The sequence below is a fragment of the Homo sapiens genome, chromosome 18 (genome assembly GCF_000001405.40).
Source record: "Homo sapiens chromosome 18, GRCh38.p14 Primary Assembly".
NCBI classification, from domain to species: Eukaryota; Metazoa; Chordata; class Mammalia; order Primates; family Hominidae; genus Homo; species Homo sapiens.
Genome location: NC_000018.10, coordinates 62,082,359 through 62,107,201, shown reverse-complemented (window position 1 = coordinate 62,107,201; position 24,843 = coordinate 62,082,359). Strand labels below are relative to the sequence as shown.

The window sequence follows — 24,843 nt, the reverse complement described above, 5'->3', positions numbered from 1 at the left end:
TTTGAATAATCTATAAATGGAAAATTATGTAGTGTTTTAGCTTTGTGCAAAGTTTGTATTGTTATACTATGTATGACCTAACTTTAAAATTCAATCAGTCTTTTTATTTGAAACAGATTTCAAGTTATTCAGGACCTTGTTGTATCAGTGTTGACCTATCCTCTGAGCCATTTTGTTGGGTACCTGTTAGCCTTTACCCTGGGAATTGAAGTATTAGTAAGTAACTTACCAGATTACAACATTTGCAAATTTCTTTTATATATTTGTAACTAGTATTAAATGACCTTATTTTTCATTCCTTCTTTGGAATGCATTACTAGGTTCTCAGTTTTTTCTACCGCTATATGCTTACCGCTGGACTTACTGCCTTTGCAGCTTGGCCATTTCTCACTCGGCTGTGGACTCGAGCAAAGGTATGAGTACTCATTTTGACATAGGACAGATTAGTAACTACTTTGTTTTGACACATGTGTAACTCAAGGAACTGTTTATTTTTAAAGAAAAGGGTAGAATGTGTTCTTACATAAAAGAGCCTAGTCATATTGATAGGAGGACTGACATTACCTGTAAGGTTTCAGTAATTCACTTAGACTTTCACATCAAAATGGGCCAGTTATGTGGTAATTGAAATGCTATATAAGTTGTACTGATATGTCCATCTCTGAAGCATTTCCTGGATTTGTTTAGCTTCAAATATCTTGATAATGGACCAGGCAAGGAGTCGTCCAGAGCAGCACAGCCCAGTGGCTTAGGGGTCTGCACTCTGTGAGTCACAGGAAACACCTCCCTCGTTACCCTGAGCCACTCAGTTTTTTTTTTTTCTGGATAAGTATGTATTTATTATAGATTATTAAAAATATAGTCAGTCTTGATTTTCTTCCTTCAGCTACATAGGGAATTACAATGTGCTTCTACAAAGAATGCACTTATATTTCCACTTTGATACTTTTTGATAGAAGTAGCAGGAAGATATCTTCTTTCTACTCTGAGAATTTATTAAAAAATCTTCAATGAATGGGATTATCGATCTTTTAATTTGTGAGGGATCTTAATCTAATTACAAAAGTAGTTTTACTTATTTTCCTTCTGGGCTCAGTTGTTTGGTGATTATTGTAGGCCACCTTTTTTATAGATGTCTTCATCAATATATGGTCTAACCTAAATTGAATGAAGCACTTTATGCAGGTTTAAATACTGGTTATTTTATTTACTTGTCATGGACCTGGTACTACTTATATTTTAACTTCTCTGAGCTCTGTTTCATCATCTGATGTATTGGGAATGATAATACCTGCCTCTTGAGGTTATTGTGAGAATTAAATGAGAAAGTGCTCATATTATACCTAATACTATACCTGCTATGCAACAGGTCCTTCACAAATAGTAACTATTACTTTTTAAAGTAGTTAGCTGTTGATTCTGCTAGAAAGTATTTGAAAAATAAAATAATAAACAGCTGTAAGGCTTTGCATTTTCCTTTTACCTTCACAGTCATATAGTCTGTGAAACACTAATGATAGTTTTCTATACCATATTTGTCTAAAGATAACTTTTTTCTTGATTTTAGATGACCTCACTGAGTTGGACTTTCTTCTCTTTGCTCCTGGCAGTGTTCCCACTGATGCCGGTTGTAGGTCGAAAGCCAGACATCTCTCTAGTGTATGAATAATATTGTATTTTATTCTATTTTCAATACACTTTTTTTTCCTCAATTAACACTGTAAAATTTGAACCTAATCTTGGTCAAGAATATAAAATCATGTGAACTAACGGGAATTTAAAATACCAATATCAAACCATTAGTCATGATTTTGGCCTAGGTTCTAAGAGTCATTAAACCTCCTAGTAGGTGCTTTCGGGCTTTCATAATGAAATTGTGCCACTGATAACTTAAAATCCCGCCCATTTTTTTTTGTTTAAGTCTAGAAGGTTTTCTTTCTTTTATGCTTGGAGGAATCAGTAAAAGTTTTAGTTTCATGTGAAAAAACATTCTGTTGCCAAAACAAAAATGTCTCAAAGCTACTGTGTTAGCCCTCTTTGCTTTAATCATGTCCACACTAAAATGTCATGTAAAAATTAAATTTTCTGCTATTCTAAATTGAATGTAAAGATCTCCATGGGAGGAAACTCTATTCACCTTGCCAGCTTTCCCATGTTTAACCACTCAAATTGTTTGAAAATTCTTCTGCATATCTTACCTAAATTCCTTACTGTGCTGCTATATTTATTTCTCTTCAATAGACCTAAATAAATTTATAAAATAACTGGTTACCTTTGCTTTTAACTGCACTTTATTGTCAAGTAAATTATGGGCTGTTTGAGTGTGCATATGATCATTATTTCATTTAACATTTCCTCTCTTATTGTCTAATCATGGGAATTAGAAATTAAATCATCTTTGTTACTTTCTTCAGAATGCTATAAGCATTTTTTAAAACATTCTAACCAAGTCTGTAATGGATAATGGTATATATTTTTAAATCAAGGAAGATTAACTAAATACTATTTTGTAAAAATATGTGCTGATTTATGAGATTCTATACATTTTCTCCTATTTGTATGAGAATACCAATATGCAATAGACCAGGAAATATCCCAGGAAGTCACTTTATTAGCAGAGCTCAAAATAATTGTATTGAATTCTAACACCATACTATCTAAGCCATACTTTATTAGAGTGTTACTAGGTAAAAACATTTTGCAACTGTCATAACCTATAAATAGTATATGACAAAATGAATTCCAATATTTTCATTTATTTCTTGCTTCAGATAGCTCTGTAAGCTCTTGTATTGTTTCTATAAAGCCCCTTTCCTTCCCTTTGTCAGTCTCTGCCTATCAGTCCTGCTCAAGCAGTATTGCCATAGTTGAGCAGAATTTATCATATGCTAAAAGGGAAGGAAATTGTATAAATTTGCCACTTGCGTATTCTACTAAAGATGAATGTGGGAAGCAAATAAACTTGTTAAAATATGAGAAATCTAATTTATATTTTAGAAAATTATATTGTTTCCCTCTAAATTTAAATTGCTCAGTGACTTTAAGTTTATCCTACTAGCTATATTTGCAACTTATTTATTTTGATTCCTGGTTCATGGGGAAATTTCTACTCTCCTTTTCATCTGTCACAGCATCTCCCTTCTTCAGAAAATCACAAAGATGTGATTTTGTGAAACATTTAAGGATACAATTAAAGGAAAAAGCAAACGTGTACAACATGGTTGTGATGTCTGTTACTCCAGTGTTCTAAAGTAAAAACATATTTGCCAATAAGTTTAGATACCAAATTATTTTAAAAATTAAGAAAGAGAAAAAAAGCAAAGAATCTTGATCATATGTGACTATTTTTTCCTAAATTTTAATGATAATCCATGTTGAATATATGATTACCTTTCTCCTTAGGATTCTCAAAGAGTGTATTTGAAGCATCACAACCAACCATCAAGCATTTTTCTGGGGATTCCTGCTTTGCATTCTTCTTAGGTGTCCAGCTCTGCTTTTTGCTCTTTCTTTTTTCTCTTCAACCAATTCCTTTTCTCTTAGTTCTATTTGGGTTCTGGATTTCATCCTCAGCATAATTCTGGCTGTGCTATGTTATTCAGATGTTAAGGAGGTGAGAAAGAGCTCAACAATAGGGCACCATTTCCTTGGTATCAGTCACCTTTGACTTTAGGAAACATACTATACCTGGTGTGTTTCCTTACTGTTATTTCATTACTGTACAAATGCCTCACCTGCATGCCACCCATGTGACCACTGCCTACCCCTTCCCTCAGCCAGGAGCAGCTGAGGAAAATACCAAGGTCTGTCACAGAAGGGAGCTGTTTTTCCTGCTAGAAATAATGTGGGTTATATATGTAGATACTTTTTGCATGAGTAAGTTTCATAATCACAAAATACATGTTGTAGATACTGATAATATACTTGTTTAGCTATCTTTTATATTGTAAATTTTTGTAAATTTGCCCAATTCAGGCTAAATATTATAGTATTTGATATGCCTAAAATTTTTTTAAATTAAATTATAGAAGCAAGGTAGAGATACTTAGAAAATTGTGGGGAGAGGTTACAAATAACCCCATCCAGCAGTATCTTTATCCTAAGATTAAAAGTTTTCTTAAAATCTTAAAACTTAAAAGTTTTCTTAAAAATCTGAAAATGTACCCATTTTGCTACTTCCTCTTGATTAAGCCAAATGACTGAGAGGTTCTGTATTAGAGTAAGATGTCTCATATTTCCATCTGATATGTGTTCGTAAATATCTGAAGAAAATTTAAAATTAATTGTATTTCAAAACAGGATGGGTGCAGGCTTGCTGGTTCTTCTGTTATCCCTGTGTGTTGTAACATCTCTCATGAAAAGAAAAGATAGCTTTATAAAGGAAGAGCTATTGGTACATCTGTTACAGGTCAGTTACAGATTTTCAATACTATGTTATACTAATGATATACTGAAATGTGTCTTATGGTTATATTTAATTATGTTCATAAAATGCCATTACCTTTATGCTACTTAGTATCTGCCAGCTGAGAAGAAAGCTTTCATTTAAGATGCTACATGGAAATGTGTTCTTTAAGAGGTATGAAATAGCAAAAGGTCCATAAGAGGCAGCCCAGTGATGCCTGAAGAGCAGAGGTTATGGAAACTGTATTGACCAAAAAGTTGAACTGAAAAGGGCTTCATCTGGACTGAGATTCTACATTGTCCTCATTTGGGTCAGGGAAGGTCACTTCCTTGAAGTGAAAGCAGCCTGGGGTATGTTTATATTAAGAATAGCCAGTTTAAGACTTCAGTTAATGTCCCAGGTGAAAATAAACTTCAGCATGGTTGGTGGCTTTGGTGTGGTGAAAATAACTTTGAACTTGATGTTTCAAAATTGAGTCAGTTCCCAGTTACGCTGCATACTAGATGGGTACTTTTTAGTAATTTGATTTCAGTTTGTGTGGTTTTTTTGTTTTTTGTATGTGTTTTTTTGAAATGAGGTCTTACTCCTGTCACCCAGGGTGGAGTGCAGTGGCACAATCTCAGCTCAATGCAACCCCTGCCTTCCAGGTTCAAGTGATTCTCCTGCCTCAGCTTCTTGAGTAGCTGGGATTACAGGCGAGAGCCACTACGCCTGGCTAATGTTGTATATTTAGTAGAGTCAGGGTTTCACCACGTTGGCCAGGCTGGTCTTGAACTCCTGACCTCAGGTGATCCACCCACCCCGGCCTCCCAAAGTCCTGGGATTACAGGCGTGAGCCACCACACAGCCACTTCAGTTTGTTTTTAATCTGTAGAGATAATATCTGATAGGGTTGTGACAGAGATCATATCATGTGATAGTCTATAAAATGACAACTTTTTCCATAGATAACGATGGAAAACATCTGTTTTTCTTTTTAACTGAATAAATAAATAAATAACCACGTCTAGACCACACACAAAAAGCAAAACTCATATGAGTGTTCTCAAAAAATTTCCTCAAGAATAGAGCTTGGATAGTAGATGGTATTTCCAAGAACACTCTGAAATAAAAATATACAACATTTGAAGGATTACATCACAAGTTAAATTCATTTTTGGAGAGCAACAGGGAACTTATAAAAAGAGAAGAATTTTTTGTCAAAAATCCTGTCAAGCCATTGGAACATATGTTTCCTTTTAAATGGTACTCTGACTGGCTTTACACTTAAGCCATAGTAGCTTTGACAGAATGTATCCAGAATAATAAGTACTTTGACAGAAGTGAATGTTTCTGAATCTCTCTCTAGGGTAGCCAAGAATATCATGCTAACATTCTTACGTGCTTTGTTAGACATACCCCTGAGTATTAGGTAACTCTGTTACAAAATTCATTTTTGCATTAGGTTTATTAACTTGCATCAGTTCCTGTACTGTCCACTGTATTTCATTGATTCCAAGATACACATTTTTTCCACATTTTAATGTCTCAGAAATAAGAATGTCTTACATTCTTGCTAGTTAGAGTCTTTCACTACCTTCTCTTTTTTTAACCTATTTCATCTTTGTCTTTAGGTGCTGAGCACAGTGCTCTCCATGTATGTTGTGTATAGCACTCAGAGTAGTCTACTCAGGAAGCAAGGACTGCCTCTCATGAATCAAATTATTAGCTGGGCAACATTAGGTAAGAGGCCACTCAAACCAGGTGAGGTAATTTGACATCAACTTAGTTATTTTAAAATGATCTGTTTATGTCTGTATCATTGTTATTGAAAGAAATAATTTTATTGCAGGAAAATAATAATAACTGGCTATTATTTCTATCTCTTGCTGGAATTTAACAAAGAGAATTTTTATGTTCATGCATGTGTTAACAAGATAATTTGATAGAATATTTATGAGCTGATAATAAAGCTATGTATTTATTAACATCTCATAAGATTTGACTAAGTGATTCCAAAAGAGATAAGGGTGAAGAGGATCTTATGCCTCATTTTCATGCCAATTCATAAATTCTCTGTTCTTACACAGGGACTGGGAAATGTTTAAATTTTATCTGTTTCCCTTCCTGAAAATAACATCGACTAGTATACCTTACATATTTTTTAAAGCTAGTTAGACATTTGAAAGCATATTTTTCTATGTAGTCCTCTTAATTAGGAATGTTGGAATATATGTGTGAAGCAAACATGTAATTTAAGGACTTAGGTTTTCCCTTCCAGTTGGAAGACAAGAGCAAGTTTTGAGCTCAAGTTTTTTGTTCAGAAAAGACACTTTGTAATGCCTGTGAATAATTTGACATATGCTTTAACTTTTACATCTTTTGATGATTTTTGTTGTTTGGGTCATGGGGGCCCACCCCTCATGAATGGCTGTACTAACTTACATTCCCACCAACAATGTACAAAGGTTCCCCCTTCCCCACATCATTGCCAGCATCTGCTATTTTTTATCTTTTTGATAATAGCAATTCTAACTGGGGTGAGATGATATCTCATTGTGGTTTTGATTTGCATTTCTTTGAAGATTAGTGATAGTGAATATTTCTTCATATACCTGTTGGCCATTTGAATGTCTTCTTTTGAGAAATGTCTACTCAGATCATTTGCCCATTTTTTAGTTGGATTAATAGGTTTTTTGCTGTTGAATTGTTTGTACTTTTTATATATTTTGGTTATTAATTCCTTGTCAGATGGGTAGTTTGCAAATATTTTCTCCCATTCTGTAGGTTGTCTCTTCACTCCGTTGATGGTTTCCTTTGCTATGCAGAAGCTTTTTAGCTTGATATAATCCCCTTTGTCTACTTTTGCTTTTGTTGCCTGTGCTTTTGAGGTCTTACCCAAAATGTCTTTGTCAGACTACTGTCCTGAAGTGTTTTCCAAATGTTTTCTTCTAGTACTTTATGGTTTCAGGTCTTACATTTAAGCCTTTAATCCATTTTGAGTTGATTTCTTTTTTATGTGGTAAGAGATAAGTGTCTTGTTTTATTGTTTTGAAAATGGATATTCCATTTTCCTAGCACCGTTTATTGGAGAGACAGTCCTTTCCTCAATGTATGTTCTTGGTGCCTTTGTCTAAATGAGTTGGCTATAAATATGTGGATTTATTTCTGGGTTCTCTATTCTGTTCCATTCATCTATGTGTCTGTTTCTATGCCAGTACCATGCTGTTTGGGTTACTATAGCTTTGTAGTTTACTTTGAAATCATGCCTTCAGCCTGACTTCATGATGCCTCCAGCTTTGTTCTTTTTTTAAAAGCTTAAGATTGCTTTGGCTATTCAGAGTCTTTTGTGGGCCCACATGAATTTTAGGATTTTTTCTATTTCTGTGAAGGATGTCATAATTTTTGTTTTATATATGTTGTTTGAAGCAAAATATTCATAACTATTACATTATCATTGTGGAATGTTACTTTTAACATCACAAAGTGTTCTTCTTTGCTTTATTGATTGTTTTTGGTCTAAAGTATACTTTGGTATCAGGATTGCAACTCTAGATTTCGTGCTGTTTCCATTTGCCTTTATTTTTAGCCTTTTTGAATCACTGTGTTTTAAGATTAGTTCCTGTATTCTGCGTAGAGTTAGGTTTTGCTTTATATGCCAATTCGACAATTTTTTTTCTTTTAACTAAAAAGGTGAGTTGAGCTCATTCACATTTACTAACATGACTCGTAGGCTTGTTCTCAAGAAGCATATAAAACACTGCATAATGTGTAGGTGTGCTCTACTACAACAAATTGAAGATTCTGTCAAGAAGATTCTGTCAAATCTTATGTTGTAGCAGAGCACACTTGTACATTATGCAGTGTTTTATATGCTTCTTTCTCTATTTGGAGTATCCTATATGATTTTATTTATTGTCCTTATTGATTTGATTATTGTTTTGGAATGGTGAGGAGGAGATTCAGAATCAGTTTACTGCTATTGTTCACCAAACATGAAAGTTTCTCTGGGCATGTATTTTAAACAAGATCTTTCCTCCTTGGGATTGGTAGAGCTAGGTTCTAGAGGATACCTACAAAATGATGTAAGACATGAAATTGTTAACTCATAGGTAAGTCATCAGTATCTCCAAAGGTCTCTTTTAGGCACAGATACACCATGGTCTAGCTTTAATGAGCATTTTTGCTTAATATGCTATGATCTCCAAATGGATGGTATATTTTGAAATTGGTTCTACTTATGTCATTTAGAATAGAGACTCTTATTTCCCCTTTATTACCTTATCAATCATTTAGACAAAAGTAAAACAAGGACAGAAAATGTGTACAGTTTTACAGAAGAGGTCTCATTTGAACTGACTTTTATTATTTGCTTTTTATTTTTTTATTTCTTAACAACCACCGTATGTCCAACAGATTAACTGACTTTTAAAATCAGACATATTGAAATGTTATTCCTTCCAGTTAAAATATGTATCAGTTTATTATGATTGGAGCTACACATCTGGAAAAAAAGTCAGAAGCTACTCATCTAAGGGTATTAAAAAATGTAACTTCATAGTCTTAAATCTTGCAGTGACTTGACTTTAGGTGAAATTGACATTACATGTAACTTAATTTAGAAGATGTTGACTAATAATAATAACCACAGTTAACAGTTACTAAGCACTATGTGCTAGGCACTATGCTCAGGGAACATTGTATAGGTGAAATTGTATTTAATCCTCACAACTTTTTAATGTTATCTCTATTTGACAGGTGGGTAAATTTCTGCTTGGATCAGTTAATGAACTTGCCCTATAGTTTAAACAGTTAGTAAGTGATTCAGCCGGGATTTCATCCCAACTTGTCTATCTTCAACCTCTAGAGCACTAGGGGGATTAGAAAGTTATGCACATTTCCTTCCCAGAATAGAGATGGAGGAGTTTATGTTTTGCCACCCCACCCACTTCATCTGCCCTTCCTCCACTTGGGTAGTTGCTTTTATTATCCCGGGGGAGAGTCGATACATCTCTCATGCATGGTGAAGTCATTCCTGTTTCTCTTTTCCAAGGGGCATACTGCAACTGTCAGTGCATACTTTACGGTGGGAAAACTTGGAGAAGGAATGGGTTAGGAAAAAATCAGTTTCTGAGGAGTAAGTTGTCTTTGAACTAAGATATAAATGCCTAATTAAGCAAAGAGTGCTAAATCTTGAGTAATACTTTTATTTCATTAGAAAATAATTCATTTTTGGGTATATACCCAGTAATGGGATGGCTGGGTCAAATGGTATTTCTAGTTCTAGATCCCTGAGGAATCGCCACACTGACTTCCACAATAGTTGAACTAGTTTACAGTCCCACCAACAGTGTAAAAGTGTTCCTATTTCTCCGCATCCTCTCCAGCACCTGTTGTTTCCTGACTTTTTAATGATTGCCATTCTAACTGGTGTGAGATGATATCTCATAGTGGTTTTGATTTGCATTTCTCTGATGGCCAGTGATGATGAGCATTTCTTCATGTGTTTTTTGGCTGCATAAATGTCTTCTTTTGAGAAGTGTCTGTTCATGTCCTTCGCCCACTTTTTGATGGGGTTGTTTGTTTTTTTCTTGTAAATTTGTTTGAGTTCATTGTAGATTCTGGATATTAGCCCTTTGTCAGATGAGTAGGTTGCGAAAATTTTCTCCCATGTTGTAGGTTGCCTGTTCACTCTGATGGTAGTTTCTTTTGCTGTGCAGAAGCTCTTTAGTTTAATTAGATCCCATTTGTCAATTTTGTCTTTTGTTGCCATTGCTTTTGGTGTTTTGGACATGAACATGCTGCTATAAAGACACATGCACACGTATGTTTATTGCGGCACTATTCACAATAGCAAAGACTTGGAACCAACCCAAATGTCCAACAATGATAGACTGGATTAAGAAAATGTGGCACATATACACCATGGAATACTATGCAGCCATAAAATATGATGAGTTCATATCCTTTGTAGGGACATGGATGAAATTGGAAACCATCATTCTCAGTAAACTATCGCAAGAACAAAAAACCAAACACCGCATATTCTCACTCATAGGTGGGAATTGAACAATGAGATCACATGGACACAGGAAGGGGAATATCACACTCTGGGGACTGTGGTGGGGTCGGGGGAGGGGGAAGGGATAGCATTGGGAGATATACCTAATGCTAGATGACACATTAGTGGGTGCAGCGCACCAGCATGGCACATGTATACATATGTAACTAACCTGCACAATGTGCACATGTACCCTAAAACTTAGAGTATAATAAAAAAAAAAAAAAAAAAAAAAAAAAAGAAAATAATTCATTTTTGAGTTAATATTATTATAGTTATCTGGGCTGAATATAAATTGAGAAAATATGGGCGTAGTTAAAAAAATGAAATGTAATGTTAATTAAAAATGTGAGGCTTGACTGTGATTAGGGGAAATGTAGCCTCATGTTCAAGGTCACAAAACAATAAATGCCATAAATGATACTAGATTATTCAGAGCTTCTACAGTAACTTTTTTTTTTAAGATGGAGTTTCACTCTTGTCACCCAGGCTGGAGTGCAGTGGTGCAATCTCGGCTCACTGCAACCTCTGCCTCCCGGGTTCAAGCGATTCTCCTACCTCAGCCTCCTGAGTAGCTGGGATTACAGGCGCCTGCCACCACACCCAGCTAATTTTTGTATTTTTAGTAGAGACGGGGTTTTATCATGTTGGCAAGGCTGGTCTCGAACTCCTGACCTCAGGTGATCTGCCCACCTCGGCCTCCCAAAGTGCTGAGATTACAGGTGTGAGCCACCACGCCCGGCCCTACGCTAACATTTTTTTTGTGTCTCTTATACTGACAGATGACCTGTTCTGTTTCATTGCAGCCTCTTCCTTGGTTGTGCCACTACTGAGTTCTCCAGTTCTCTTTCAGCGATTGTTCAGCATACTTCTTTCATTGATGTCAACCTACCTACTTCTAAGCACAGGGTATAAACTTTTTAACAATTTAATTTTATAGCAGCAAGTTTTAAATGATATATTGATATTTTCTCTATTAGTATTTAACTTCTGGAAATAAAAAATGTTTTCTAAATCTTGAGGGATACATTATAAATATTTTCTTCTCTATGAGAACTGTATCTGACTTGATCTGTAATCTTCTGTTTTCTGTTTTTTAAATCCATTTCATGATATTGCTTGCTGTCTTTGTCTTTCTCTTTTCTGAAGTTGCTAAAATACCATTTAACTATAATGTTAAAAAATTCTGATTGTGGAAGAATTTTGTCTCATTGATTTTTATTTTTATTGCATTCCTTATATTGATTTTAAATTATGCTTTGATTTGTCCATTCTTCTTTGAATATAGTATTTTTTTAATCTTACATATCTCACAGTTCAGATATTCATTTGATTCAGAGAACCTTCAGAATATTTTCCCAAAACTTTTAAAGATTTTTATTTAAGATTGAAATTTTCTTGCCAAAACAAAACAAAAAATCAGCAGCTTGACTTGGGGTAAATCCCAAAGCATTTTCTAGAACTCAGTGAAGACAGGGATATACTCTGTCCATTAACTTTGAAGAATTCTTTTCTTGCTTTTGAATTTTGTCCTTACTTAAATCTTTATGAGGGTAAGAAATGTGTACATTATAACAAACAATGACTAGAACAAACAGTGAATAAACACCACTCATAAACAGTTTGAATTTTGGCCCAAATACAGAATCTTGATTGAAGTTAGACTAAACCTAGGGATTCACCATTATGCTATGAGATTATTCACAGTTCAAATGATTTTGTAAAGCCATTTGGGGTCTAAGGCTCAGGTTCTCCCTTTTGGAAACTTAGTTGTCATAGTTCAAAATTAGAGAGATGTTCTCAAAGTCTTCCCACAGTAGACTCTAACACCCTAAGTGACCTAGACCCCAGGAGTTCTTGTAGTCTCATATAAGAGATGATCCAGTGGGGCCCTAAACCTTTTTTTCACCAAAGCTGTCTATCTTCTTTTGTTTCCCTTCCCCCTGCCTAACCAGATGTGGGCCACAGCTCTGAAGATGTGATATGAATGTCATGGAAATTTTTACCAGTTACCTAATAAGATTATAAGATAGGCTTCCTTTGAGATTTAGACCTTTGAAATATAACTTTAAAATAAAACTGGAAATTTATGAGCATCTGTTATTCAAGAGTGATGAACATCATGAAAGCTTAAAATCTTTCACAGTTTTCACCCTTTATTAGTGAAATTTCAGGATAAATAATTTTGTTAAATTAGAATCTATGAGAGTAAAAATGAATTCAACTATGCACAAGTTTTTAATCTATATAAGGAAGCAGAAGTTAAAATAATTTCTATTCTAACCTACCATTTCAGGGAGACTTGTGAGTTTTATTAAGAGATCACACCCAGAGGTTGACTTAAGGAAATAAATGTTTGAAAGCGTCCAGAAATATGTACTAAATTCTGTACAGTCTCTTAATAGGCCTTTCTCTTTTTTGAACTTTCAAATTCTAAAGCAATAAACAGATTTAAAGGGATGTGTAGTTGATTAAAAATGTAAACAAATATAAAAATAGATCTGATTTGCTGGATTAGAAAAGGAGAGAAAGAAGCAAGGATAATTGAAGTTTAATTTTGAATGAAAAACTATTTCATAATGTAGCATTAGTTAATCATGTAACTTACATAGGGGATAAATATTTTAAATCATCAATTTAATAGTCATAGGAGATGCCCAAACAAATTATCATAATAAGCATAATCATAATCATAACTTATTTTAAGAAAATCTAAAAAGTGAAAATTTATACCTAAAATCAGAATAATAAGGCACTATATAACCTTGTTAATGAATTCATTAAGAGATACATTATTCAACATCAGAAAGTATATCTAGCTTTGCCAAAAAAAATTAAAAAGAGTATCTTGAAATAGCACAGTTCAGTCATTTCAATCAGTACATCTTCTCAGTGTCAAATCAGTTTTGCAAAACACAGTCCACCTGTTATGATTCAGCCTCACCATTTTGGATGACCTGGAGGGTTCTCTACGTAAATTAGTGAATATTCAGAATTACAGAGTATTTAAAAGAAATGTAGTTATATTATAATATAGAAATATAGCAGCAGTAATCCTAAATTCTTACAATGCATCCTTGATTTATTGAATAAAGAAGATTCATTTTTAATCAGCACTTAATTATTTTTATGCAAATGGAGCTATTGTAATACTTGAAAATAGTTTGTTCTCTTGGTTAAAGTTGGTTAAACATTTCCCTTTGAAATTTTCTTTGCATTATTCCTTTGCTTAGCAAACTGTAATACAAAGCTAAATGCCTTGTCTGCCCTATTCAATTTTCACAGAGACCAAACCAGCAGATCCTAATTTAGTAAGTTTTCATTATGTTCTCCCTGAGCCGGTGATGACATTTCATTGATATTTCAGTTTATTAATGCAGATATACAGACTTTATATGAACTATTGATTGTTTTAAGAGATAAAGTCCCATAGGAAGATTATCTTTATCTGGTTTATTCATCTCCATTTTACAAAAGAAAGTGATCATAATGTATAGTTTTTGAAAGGAAATAAATTCTACTATTTGTAGAACTATGACATTTATGTTTTTAAATATTAGGAAACAGTAACTTCATATATAACTTCAAATCTTTAAAAAAATGACGGTTGCCTTTTGTTCAGAGTATGCACCTTAATTCAATTAATCAACAGTTGTTTTTTCTTTCATATCTCCAGTGTCCAGAGCACTATGCAATCACACAGAGAGAACCATTAGTGTACTGCTAGTGTACAATAGAGTTATAAGCTGCTATAAAATAAGAACTATATTTTACAGTGTTAGGCAATTACAAAATCAAACAATTAAGTTACTGTGAGTTAATGAAGTTGTGAATTGTATGAAATGAAGACTGACTAGAGAAAGAGCTTGAATAGGAAAGCTGAGTTAGTGCCATCAATGATGTTGAACTGAACTTTAAAGAAAGGCCAGGGATACAAGCATTGTAAATATTTGTTTTTCAATTTTTAAAAAATCATTGGAAAAATAGTGTCATCACATTATCGAAAGTAGGAATAAGGGATAAAATCATGTATTAACTCTACTCTTGTTAATGTTCTGGTATATTTCTTTCTGGTGTTACCCCCGTATTTGTCTTTTTAACATAGAATTAATCACAGTACATGTTCTATTTTGGATCTTTTTTTCTAATTAACATTATTTCAGAAGCATTTTCTAGGTGGCTCTTAGGCTTTCTAGCCACCATTTTAATAGATATTTAATATTTCATGATATGGATTTTGTTTCAACTTTTTATTATCACAGATAATATTTTGAGTTATGTTTTTATGCATAAGCTTTTTCATAGTCTAGATTATTTCCTTTGTTCACTTCTCATATAGTGTATTTGGGCCATTGGGTGTGAACTTTCTTTTTTTAACTTGTAATTGTCTTAAGAACAGTGCCAATGTATAATATCTACAACAAACTATATATGAGGGGTACTATTTCATCATATCTGTAACAAATATGTAACAGTATTTGGTATTTCCATTTTTAAATAAGAATATCAAATGTTATATTAATAGGTCAAAAGTGGCACTGCTTTGTACAGTTTTCTGTACTTGTTTTACTCATGATATTTTCTCATGTGTGTAGGTATCTGTTCATATCCCTGGGCCTTCTAAGTCTTATATATCAAGTGATTTGTGTATGCTTTCTGAAACCTGAATCTTTCCTTCTGCCCAGTCTTCAGTGTTATAATTTTATAATTTGTAATAGCGTTTAAAGTGTTTGGTTTTTTTTGCTTTCTTATCTTTAGGAAATAGTGGCGTATGCTGTAGAGTTCAGTAGTTGAAAGACTCAAAAAGGAAATAAGGCTTTGTTTTGTTTTGTAACTTCTGATTAGATAAATAACTCACTCAGCAAATATTTGTGAGCTGGGCCAGCAGTGGTAATGAGACAGACAGACTTGGTTTTCAAAGATTTTATAAAGTAATAATAGACGCTTACAGGTAGACATGTGATTAAGATGGTGTAAGTACTATAATAGAGCATTTAGGGATTATGAAGGTGGAACATTTACCCCAGACAAAGCGGAAACTGTTTAGAAAAGGCTTCTATCACTGTGTTGTCTCATGAGCATTTCTTCTTTGTTTTTGTGTCCATTTTACACTCCAGCCTGTAGGTGTACCACACATTTAATCATTCCCCGGTGGACATGTAGGTTGTTTTCTGTTTCCTGCTTCTGTAAACAATATTACAACAGATATCTTTATAATGGAAATTGTAGCACATGTCTGCTTATTTTCTCAGGGTAAATTTTTAGAAATGGCCTTATTGCATTATAGTATATGAATATTTTTGAGATTCTTAATACATAGTATCAGATGGTCTTCCAGAAAGTGTATATTCCTATAGAGAGCATATGAGAGTTCCTTTTTCATCACATTCTTGTCAACACTGTTTTGTTTTTGAGACAGAATCTCACACTGTAACCTGGGTGGGAGTGCAGTGGCGTGATCTCAGCTTACTGCAACCTCTGCCTCCCGGGTTCACGTGATTCTCCTGCCTCAGCCTCCCGAGTTAGCTGGGCAGGCGCACACCACCACACCCGGCTAATTTTTTGTATTTTTAGTAGAGACAGGGTTTCACTATGCTGGCCAGACTGGTCTCGACTCCTGACCTCGGGATCTGCCTGCTCCGGCCTGCCAAAGTGCTGGGATTACAGGCATGAACCACCACGCCTGGCCAACACTGTTGTTTTAATATTGGCAAATATGATATATCACCATTGTTTTCATTTCCATATGTTATCAATAAGGTCAAACATAATTTTCGTGTTTGTGTTCTTGTTGCGCCCATTTTTTTGAAAATTTAGAGTGTTCCTTTTCCTCTTCTATGTATGTTAATAATTTTACCTCAAGAATTATCTTTTTACCTTTGTCTTCATGCCTTCTTTCTCTTTTATGTATATCTGTCATTTGCTTTATGAATGGCTTTTATATATTTCTATTATTTTAAACACATAATTATCTCAAGATTTCACATCACTCAAAAAAGATGATGTTGGAGTTAAAATTTAAATATTACTTTCCTACTTTCTTCTTAAGTTTTGTAATATTGTGACTTAGAAGTATTATCAAATTGTTTTAATTTTGAGAAAGACCTCAGTGTAAATTTGCATTTTTACTTATTTTACTGTTTTTTTCTTTTCATTTCTACCTTTCCCCACCTGTTAGGTATGAAGCTCTCTTTCCACTAGTGTTGTCTTGTTTGATGTTTGTCTGGATAAACATAGAACAAGAAACTCTACAACAATCTGGTGTTTGCTGTAAACAAAAGGTAGCTGGTCAAAGTCATTTTTGTTTTTATTTGAGACTATTAGTCTCTATCCTATAAGGAAGTTGCAATATTATTTCAAAAATTCTTTCTACTTAAAATTTTAGTGTTAAAAGTTTTAGTTGTTTGGCATTAATAATTAAGTTAAACTTAATAATAGATAAGGAAGATTTTTTACTTATCACAGAAAAGCACAATTTTGTTGTTGTATAGGTTGGGCTTTTCTTAGTGATTACTTGAGGATCATTGATTTAAAAAAGTCAATATAAGTGAAGGAATACAGAAAAGAATGCTTTTTATCTTATTTTCTTCATATTTCACATCCAATTTTTCCTTCCGTCAATTTATCTTGGAAGAATTTTAATGTTGTCACAAGTCAATTTATGAATTTTATTATAAGGTGACATTTACGTTTCTATTGTTGTTTTTCACTTTCTGGTCATCCTAATCCAAATTGCTTATTCTGCTGCCTTAATGATTGTGGCCTCAGTCCAAATCTTAGATTGTGTATGCAACACATAATACTTTGAGTTGGCTAAAATCCAACCAATTTTTAAGGATACCTTTATCATGGTGGGCTACAGAGTTAAATTGATGTTTCTTGTCTATATTTAGAGCTGATGGTAATTCTGAGAAATTGGTGATAGAATATTTGCAGTTTTACTAAGGTCGGATAAAATGAATATTACAGAAAATACTTTCATAGTTGATCCATCGTTATATGGCTCCAGTTGAGTTTGTAGATTGTTATTGATAATTCAGAATGATTAATTTCAATAAAGAAGAAACTTTATTGAGGCATATTTAATAATTACTGGTTTTAAACTTTTAGTCCTTGAATATTAAAATAATACATGAAAAGCAGTTTTGAGCAGATTCATGTAAATACTCAGAGATTAGCCTTAATGTTAAATATTTTGTCAGGCTGAGGATTATTGTGTTACTTTTTAAATTCTATGTTTTTAACTAAAAGCAAATGTATTTCATTCTAGAAAAGAGTATTAAAACATCCCAAGAACTTACTAGAAAATTACATGGGAAGTAGGAGTGGGGAAAGTCTACCTTTAAATTCACCCATTAGTGTTCTATTTGTGGAGGGTGATTAAGCAAGAGTGCACTCACCTTGTTGGATTGAGTGGCTTTCTGTTCTACCAAAGACAGGACTATGTTGCTTTTTTATAGAAAGAAAATTTCTCTGCAAATAGAATTAATAGAGGGACAAATAAACAAACATTTAATTTTACCATGTCTTTTAATATGATACCATATCTAGGTTTAAGATGATCAGGACACTCTGAGAAATTAGTCTTTGAAGAGGGAAGAATTATATAGGGATTTTAAAATGAAGCATTTATATAAGATAAGAAAAAACTCAATTCTCACTTTTATTACACATATAGCAACACTACAACTGTGTTCTATATATTATTAGCAACATATTTTACCTTTTGGCACATTTTATTAAGGTGTAATTAAACCCTAGGGAAAGATTTATTGTTTATTGTTTATTGTTTATTTTTTTGTCAGCACAGGGCATGTTTCTAGCCATTGTAACTTAGCCATTGTAAGTTTGCCTTCAAATATAGAAATAAGCCAACTGTTATTGTGCATTAATATTTTTCTTATTATCTCACAGCTCACCAGTATCCAGTTCTCTTATAATACTGATATAACTCAGTTTCGACAGCTATATCTGGATGACATCCGTAGGGCCTTTTTCCTTGTATCCTTTGTGGAGACTTTGGTTTAAAGAGCTGCAACTCCCACTTAATGGAGTAAGAAGACATGGAAGGTGTTTCTGCCCATCACTTAATAGTGGTGTTAAGTACTTTAACCTCCCTGAACTATAGTTTTCTCATGTAATTCACATTAAAAATTTTTTTGAACTATAGAAAAGTATAAATAATTTTATGTATGTATATATATATATTCCTGCTATTCAGATATTAGCCATTAGTACTTTGTCACATATGTTTTTTAAAAATGTGTTTTTAAGAAGTTAAAACATTAGAGCTAAAGCCAAAGTCTTTCAACTCCCGACTTCAATCGAATTTCTCACATCCTGGAAGAAACCACAATTATGAGTTCATATCTTTTTATGTGCATTTTATTCTGAACTCACATTACATAACATCTGTCTCACAGAGGTTTTTGGATCACATCAGAGGCAATGTTGTGAAAGTTGTTAGTAGTAGAAGTTTGAAAGACAGTATGGCAGAGGAAAGTCTTAGTTTGGAAAGGCTGACTGACTAGCTGCAAGAAATCATAGGGATGTATTTCCTTTATTTTATTTTATTCAGCTTTATTGAAGTATAATTGACAAAAATTGTATATATTTAAGGTGTATATTTTGATGTTTTGATATATGTATACATTGTAAAATGATCACCACAATCAAGCTAATTATCATATCGATTGCCTCACGTACTTACTGCTTTTTCTTTCTTTCTGTTTTTGCAGTGAGAACACTTAAGATCAGCTCTCTTAGCGCATTTCAAGTATACAATACAATATTACTGACTATAGTCACCATGCTGTACATTTAATCTCCAGACCTTATTCATCTTGCACAACTGAAACTTCATACACTTTCACCAACATTTCCCCTTTCCCCACTCCTCTCAGCCCTCAGCAACCATCATTCTACTCTCTTTTTTAAGTGTGACTATTTTACTTTTGCTAGCTGTAGGAGTTCCTCGTATGTTTTGGATATTAACCCTTATCAGATACATGGCTTGTAAGTATTGGAGGCATTTTCTTTGAGCTGACCATGGTGCAGAGTCTAGACCTCAGGTACAGGAAATAAATATTCCATCCTCTCTGTCTCTTGCTTTTACTCTGTTTTGCTTTCTTTCTCTCTTTACAGGTTCCTTCCAATCAGCTAATACTATTAAAGCACTTTACCCACTGAACCTTGCATTTCCCTAAATTATAATTTCATCTTGTCCTTTCTGTTTAATTTTTTGAAAGAAAAATTTATAGTTGCTGCCATTATTTTCTCTCCATGTATATGCCATATCCGCAAACCTCTAACAATGCCTGGCACGTAGCAGTGCTCTATCAGTATTTGTCAGATGTCTCTGCCGAAGTTGTACTGTCAGTGGTCTGCAGGGGCTTCCTGATCACTCAAATCTATTCAGTTTACCTGACCACACTTTAACATTCAAGTCTATGTTTTCTCTTTCTTTTCCCTTCACATCCAGTACACAGTACAAGTTTTCTTCTAAGATTTTTATATCACTTCTATTCTTCTTCTCTATAATTACTTCCTTTGCCTGATCTTCAGCCATACTTTTTTCTCCATGCTCCACCATTAACCTTCTTTTATTGTGCCTGGTTTATGCCATATTTTCCTGTAACTTTGGTAGACACTTCTATGCAAACAACTCTAAGATGTGTTTTTCCAAACTTGACCCCTTTCGTGACCTCGAGGACCACATGTCTAACATTCTGCTGGGCATCACCAAATATGTGTCCCAAACTGACTAACAACTGCCACTCCTCTTCAAAGTCACTCTCTCTGGCAGGCCTTATCTCATTTAATGGCATCACCATACTCCCAGTCCCCAAGACATCCAACTTGTTGTCATATTTAACTGCTCCTTGTCCACTTCTAAAGTCCCTGTGGCTCCCTTCACTCTAGATCTTCATTCCCACTGCATCAGTTCACATTTCCTTATCTCTGACATGGACTACTGAAATGGCTCCCAACTTAAATTTTCTGCCTCCAATTATTTGTCTCCCTTATCTGAATATCACACAGTCACTGATGTTTCTTGATTATAACACTAGCCTAAAAGATTTGCTACTCTTCACTGTATCCACAATAAAGTTCAGGCTTTTTAAAAAAAAAAAAAAAACAAAAAACGGAGTCTTACTCTGTCACTAGGCTGGAGTGCAATGGCACAATCTTGGCTCACTGCAACCTCCACTTGCCGGGTTCAAGTGATTCTCCTGCCTCAGCCTCCTGAGTAGCTGGGACTATAGGCGTGCACCACCAGGACCGGCTAATTTTTGTATTTTTAGTAGAGACGGGGTTTCACCATGTTGGCCAGGATGGTCTTGATCTCTTGACCCCGTGGTCTGCCCGCCTCAGCCTCCCTAAGTGCTGGGATTACAGGCATGAGCCACTACACCCGGCCCAGTTCAGGCTTTTTATTAATATGCCACCAGTCTATATTTCTTGCTTCATCTTTCACCATATCCTTCGATAAAGTCTAAGTTCCTATCTGTCAAGCCTTTTTACTCTTTCTTGGCGTTGTCATTTTTTTCTCACTGTTCTTTACCTTAAAATGTCTCTCCTCTATTTCTGTCATCATATCTTAGTCACCATTTGAGTATTTTGAGACTATTTTATTTATGTTTATATTCTTAGTGCCTATCTCTGTCTCTGACATCTACTAGACAATAAACGGTTGCTTAGATGATTCGTTGAATCACTGAATGCATGAATACATTAAAGGCTCAGCTCACCAACTCAAATGCCTCTTTTTCACTGAAAATTGTCATGATTCGTACTTCCTCTTCGGCGTTGCCTCACCATTTCTGTGGGTGTCTATGGTAATGAAAGAGCTAATGCTTATCAAGCCCTTTCAGTGGGCTAGGCACCATTTTAAGTGCTTTGCTAGCAGTAAGTTCTTGGACACTAAGATTAATATCAATGTTTTATTGCTTTACTAATACAAATGTAAGTTTCAGAAATGTCAAAAAGATGTTCAGCATTTTCTCATGTGTCATTCTCTATTGAATTATTTTAAAACATGGTATCTTGTTTCTTCCTGAGCCTTTCAAGTGGTCTAGCATGTGCTTAGCAGGTGGTGGGTTTACGGCAAGCATATATAGACTATAACTGTGTCTCTCAGCTGAAAATATCTATGATACACACTAGATCCATGTTTTTCTTTTGAAAAAATCACTAGCAGCCCACTACAGATATGGTCCACCTTGCTCATATTAGGGAAGAGGAAAATAACTTACTAGGAACTGAGTGAGGATGACCTCTCAGGCCTCATTATTCTCGGTACACAGCCTCTTCAATCTGGCTGTTTTAAAATGCATTCACAAGGAGTTATAATGGAATGTTCATTGAAAACAATTCATGGTACAAGTAAAAGAGCAAATTACTCTCAAGGTAAAATTAGCATATCTTTTCTAAATGAAAAGGAAATTTGTATGAAATCTGAGTTGTTTTGCCATTTCCTTGACTCCCTTTAGGTTTTCTTCTTAGTGACAGCATTTTTTGGAACTGGAAATATAGCTTCTATTAACAGGTAATTTTAAATGAAAGTGGCATATATATATAACTAAAAAATAATGCAACCTGGGACTTCTATACCTTTTGTTCTGTACCTTATTATTTTTTTTTCTTTTTGAGACCAAGTCTCACTCTGTTGCCTAGACTGGAGGGCAGTGGTGTGATCTCGGCTCATTGCAACCTCTGCCTCCCAGGTTCAAGCGATTCTCATGCCTCAGCCTCCCGAGTAGCTGGGATTACAGGTGCCCGCCACCATGCCTGGCTAATTTTTGTATTTTTAGTAGAGACGGGGTTTCACTATGTTGGTCAGGCTGGTCTCAAACTGCTGACCGCAGGTGATCCACCCGCCTCAGCCTGCCAAAGTGCTGGGATTACAGGCGTGAGCCACGGCACCCAGCCTGCACCTTGCTTTTTATACTGAATGATATATTTTGGAGATTGGTATGTATTGGCACATTCGGATCTACTGCGTTCATTTTAGTGGCTTCATAATATGATGTTTGCTTGTGTTTTAGTAAGTAGATTTCAGAGAATTAGTTTAAACATCTTTTTAGAAGAATATTCTTTTAAAGTTACAGAGTGAATTCTAAATTCTTTTTCCTTGTTATAATTCCCTAGCTTTGATCTTGCCTCTGTCTATTGCTTTCTGACTGTGTTCAGTCCTTTTATGATGGGAGCCCTGATGATGTGGAAGGTTAGTTTTCTTATTTTGTTATTTGTCTTAAGCTATTGATTGATTAAGATTATAAAGTCATTTAGACAGAGTTAAGTAGCAATGGAAAGAAGATATCCTTTCAGAGTTGGCACTGCTAAACTGGAGGTGAGACCCTCTATCCCTTACTCCAAACCACAGTTAATCTTTTTGCTTTACTCATAAGTGCATTTGACTTCAAAAGAGTAGGGATTCAACTGTTAATCTGAGAGGATCTTATCAGATGTGATTAAAGCCTGTGGGAAGCTATGGATCAAACTGCAGTGCTGCTAAAGAGTATAAGGTTCCCTGAACCCATGTTCTCTACCCATGAGATTGCCAACATAATCTTTTCTCATAAGCCATGTACCTGGAATTGATCAATTCATTCAACAAATGTGTCATTTTCTGCTATATTTAGTAATGTGCCAGATATTAGCTGGGTGCTGACAGTACAAAGATAATGACCATTTTCAGCTTTCCAGGGGTTCAGATTCTTCATTAGAATGTAATTCATGTTCTTCTTCTCTAAGGTCATTATGCTTGTTTTATTCCCTTTACCATAATGCCTGACACATTTTACTTAGTATATATTTGTTTAAATAAAGTAAACTGATTCTTGCCTAAAATCCGATTACCTAATGTTCAGATTTATGAATAAAAATGGTTAAAGGTGTCATCTTAATAGGATTAATGTCTACTTTTTGTTATTACACTAATACAAATGGAAGTTTAAGAAGTGTTAAAAAGATGTTCAGTTTCTCACATCCTGTTCCCTACTGAGTTATTTTAAAACATGTTGCTATTTCCTTAATTTTCACTCACATTTTTTAAATGGTTTTTTTTCCCAGTTTATTAAAGACCATTGGCCTTTAATTAAAAACAAGCAAGCAAGCAAGCAAGCAAGCAAGAAAGAAAGACAAAGCTCAAATTAGAATGCTAGGTTCTTAATCTCCAGCACAATGCAGTAAGCTTTAATGACATAATACACTTGATGACTTTTGTTGACTGATGTGTCTAGAAGTGAGGGCCCTGCTGAATTCTATTTTATTCATATGTCCTTCACTTGAAAAAGAACTGTATGCTGCCTTGAACATCATTTATTTTCCATATCTCCCCCTGTTTTGAAACATCAAGTTATATATATTTTTCAAAATTGATAATTGGAAAGCAATACCTCAAGATATTAACAGTATTAGCTCTGGATTATGGATTTTCAACCAGCATAAATTTTACTATAGCTTTATTTCAAATGTTTTATAAATTTTTTCATATTTGTTATAATGAGTGTGAATTTTATAATCATAAATAAATGTATTTTTTTAAAAAAGGCAAAGATTAAGAAGCTGAATCATGTTTATAATGTTATAGTTTTAAATAACCAGATGGGTTTAAGGATCTGTGAATCAAATTATCAGGTTATATAATTTATTTGATTTGGGCATTCTGTGCTTTTCACACCCTCTTGGAATCTTTTGAACATTGTGGTTAATTATTAGAATACATTAAATGGAACAAAATTTGTAATAGGCTTTTATTTGGAATATGTATTGATGTTTGCTGTCTTTTACATCGTATAGCTTATTAATGTAGGTTTTTAAGTCAGTTTCATCACCGTTCTATGTGCCATTGGTATCATGCTTTTATTTCAGTGTTTGCTCTTCACTAGTATATATAAAAGTTACTTGAGAAATTGAAAATATTTCTGTAAGCAGAAATAGTATTTTTTTCAAAAAGTGTTTCAGATGCTTCAGTTATTCCTTGCATCATTTATTGTTCTTTTACAGATTTTAATCCCCTTTGTTCTTGTTATGTGTGCTTTTGAAGCAGTTCAGTTGACTACTCAGTTATCGTCAAAAAGGTAAGATGAATTAGTTTAAGAAACATTTGATTTGCCTATTTTTAGGAGATGAGAGTAAACTTTCGAAGACATTTCATATGATTGCTATTAAGACACTGTAACATAGATTGTTTATTACAAAAATGAGAAAATTTTCACCCGTTTAGTCAGTGTTGCTTGTCATTAGAGGAAATTAGTTGATTAGGGCCTCTAGCAGACAAACTTGCTTTCTCAGCAATAAAATGTTATTAGAGTATTATTCAAGCTAGTGAAGAACCTCCCTAGAAAACAGTAAAACATAAATGTTAAATTATTGTAGTTAATTACTTGTTATA

At 34.1% G+C, this 24,843-nt stretch overlaps 1 protein-coding gene across 47 annotated transcripts in view, besides 2 other annotated features; it reads left to right on the top strand.

Moving 5' to 3' along the window:
- Window positions 1-24,843, top strand: part of PIGN (phosphatidylinositol glycan anchor biosynthesis class N) — a 169,442-nt gene that overhangs the window by 79,855 nt on the left and 64,744 nt on the right. For all 47 annotated transcript variants that reach the window (XM_047437461.1, XM_047437431.1, XM_047437439.1 and 44 more), the window contains 11 exons: window positions 117-216; window positions 321-413; window positions 1,568-1,659; window positions 4,300-4,408; window positions 6,019-6,127; window positions 11,252-11,354; window positions 16,624-16,726; window positions 18,360-18,446; window positions 21,938-21,993; window positions 22,596-22,671; window positions 24,456-24,529. In XM_047437461.1, coding sequence (XP_047293417.1) covers window positions 117-216; window positions 321-413; window positions 1,568-1,659; window positions 4,300-4,408; window positions 6,019-6,127; window positions 11,252-11,354; window positions 16,624-16,726; window positions 18,360-18,446; window positions 21,938-21,993; window positions 22,596-22,671; window positions 24,456-24,529 — 1,002 coding nt within the window. The remainder of the gene's footprint in view (window positions 1-116; window positions 217-320; window positions 414-1,567; window positions 1,660-4,299; window positions 4,409-6,018; window positions 6,128-11,251; window positions 11,355-16,623; window positions 16,727-18,359; window positions 18,447-21,937; window positions 21,994-22,595; window positions 22,672-24,455; window positions 24,530-24,843) is intronic.
- Window positions 1,425-1,594: an enhancer, noted in NCBI's record as "experimental_48690 CRE fragment used in MPRA reporter constructs". NCBI's record gives its function as "activates a minimal promoter by MPRAs in K562 erythroleukemia cells, with activity observed for both the introgressed and non-introgressed 18:59772926 variant alleles {active_cell/tissue: K562}" and the evidence as "EXISTENCE:reporter gene assay evidence [ECO:0000049][PMID:34662402]".
- Window positions 10,754-10,923: an enhancer, noted in NCBI's record as "experimental_48670 CRE fragment used in MPRA reporter constructs". NCBI's record gives its function as "activates a minimal promoter by MPRAs in K562 erythroleukemia cells, with activity observed for the non-introgressed 18:59763597 variant allele {active_cell/tissue: K562}" and the evidence as "EXISTENCE:reporter gene assay evidence [ECO:0000049][PMID:34662402]".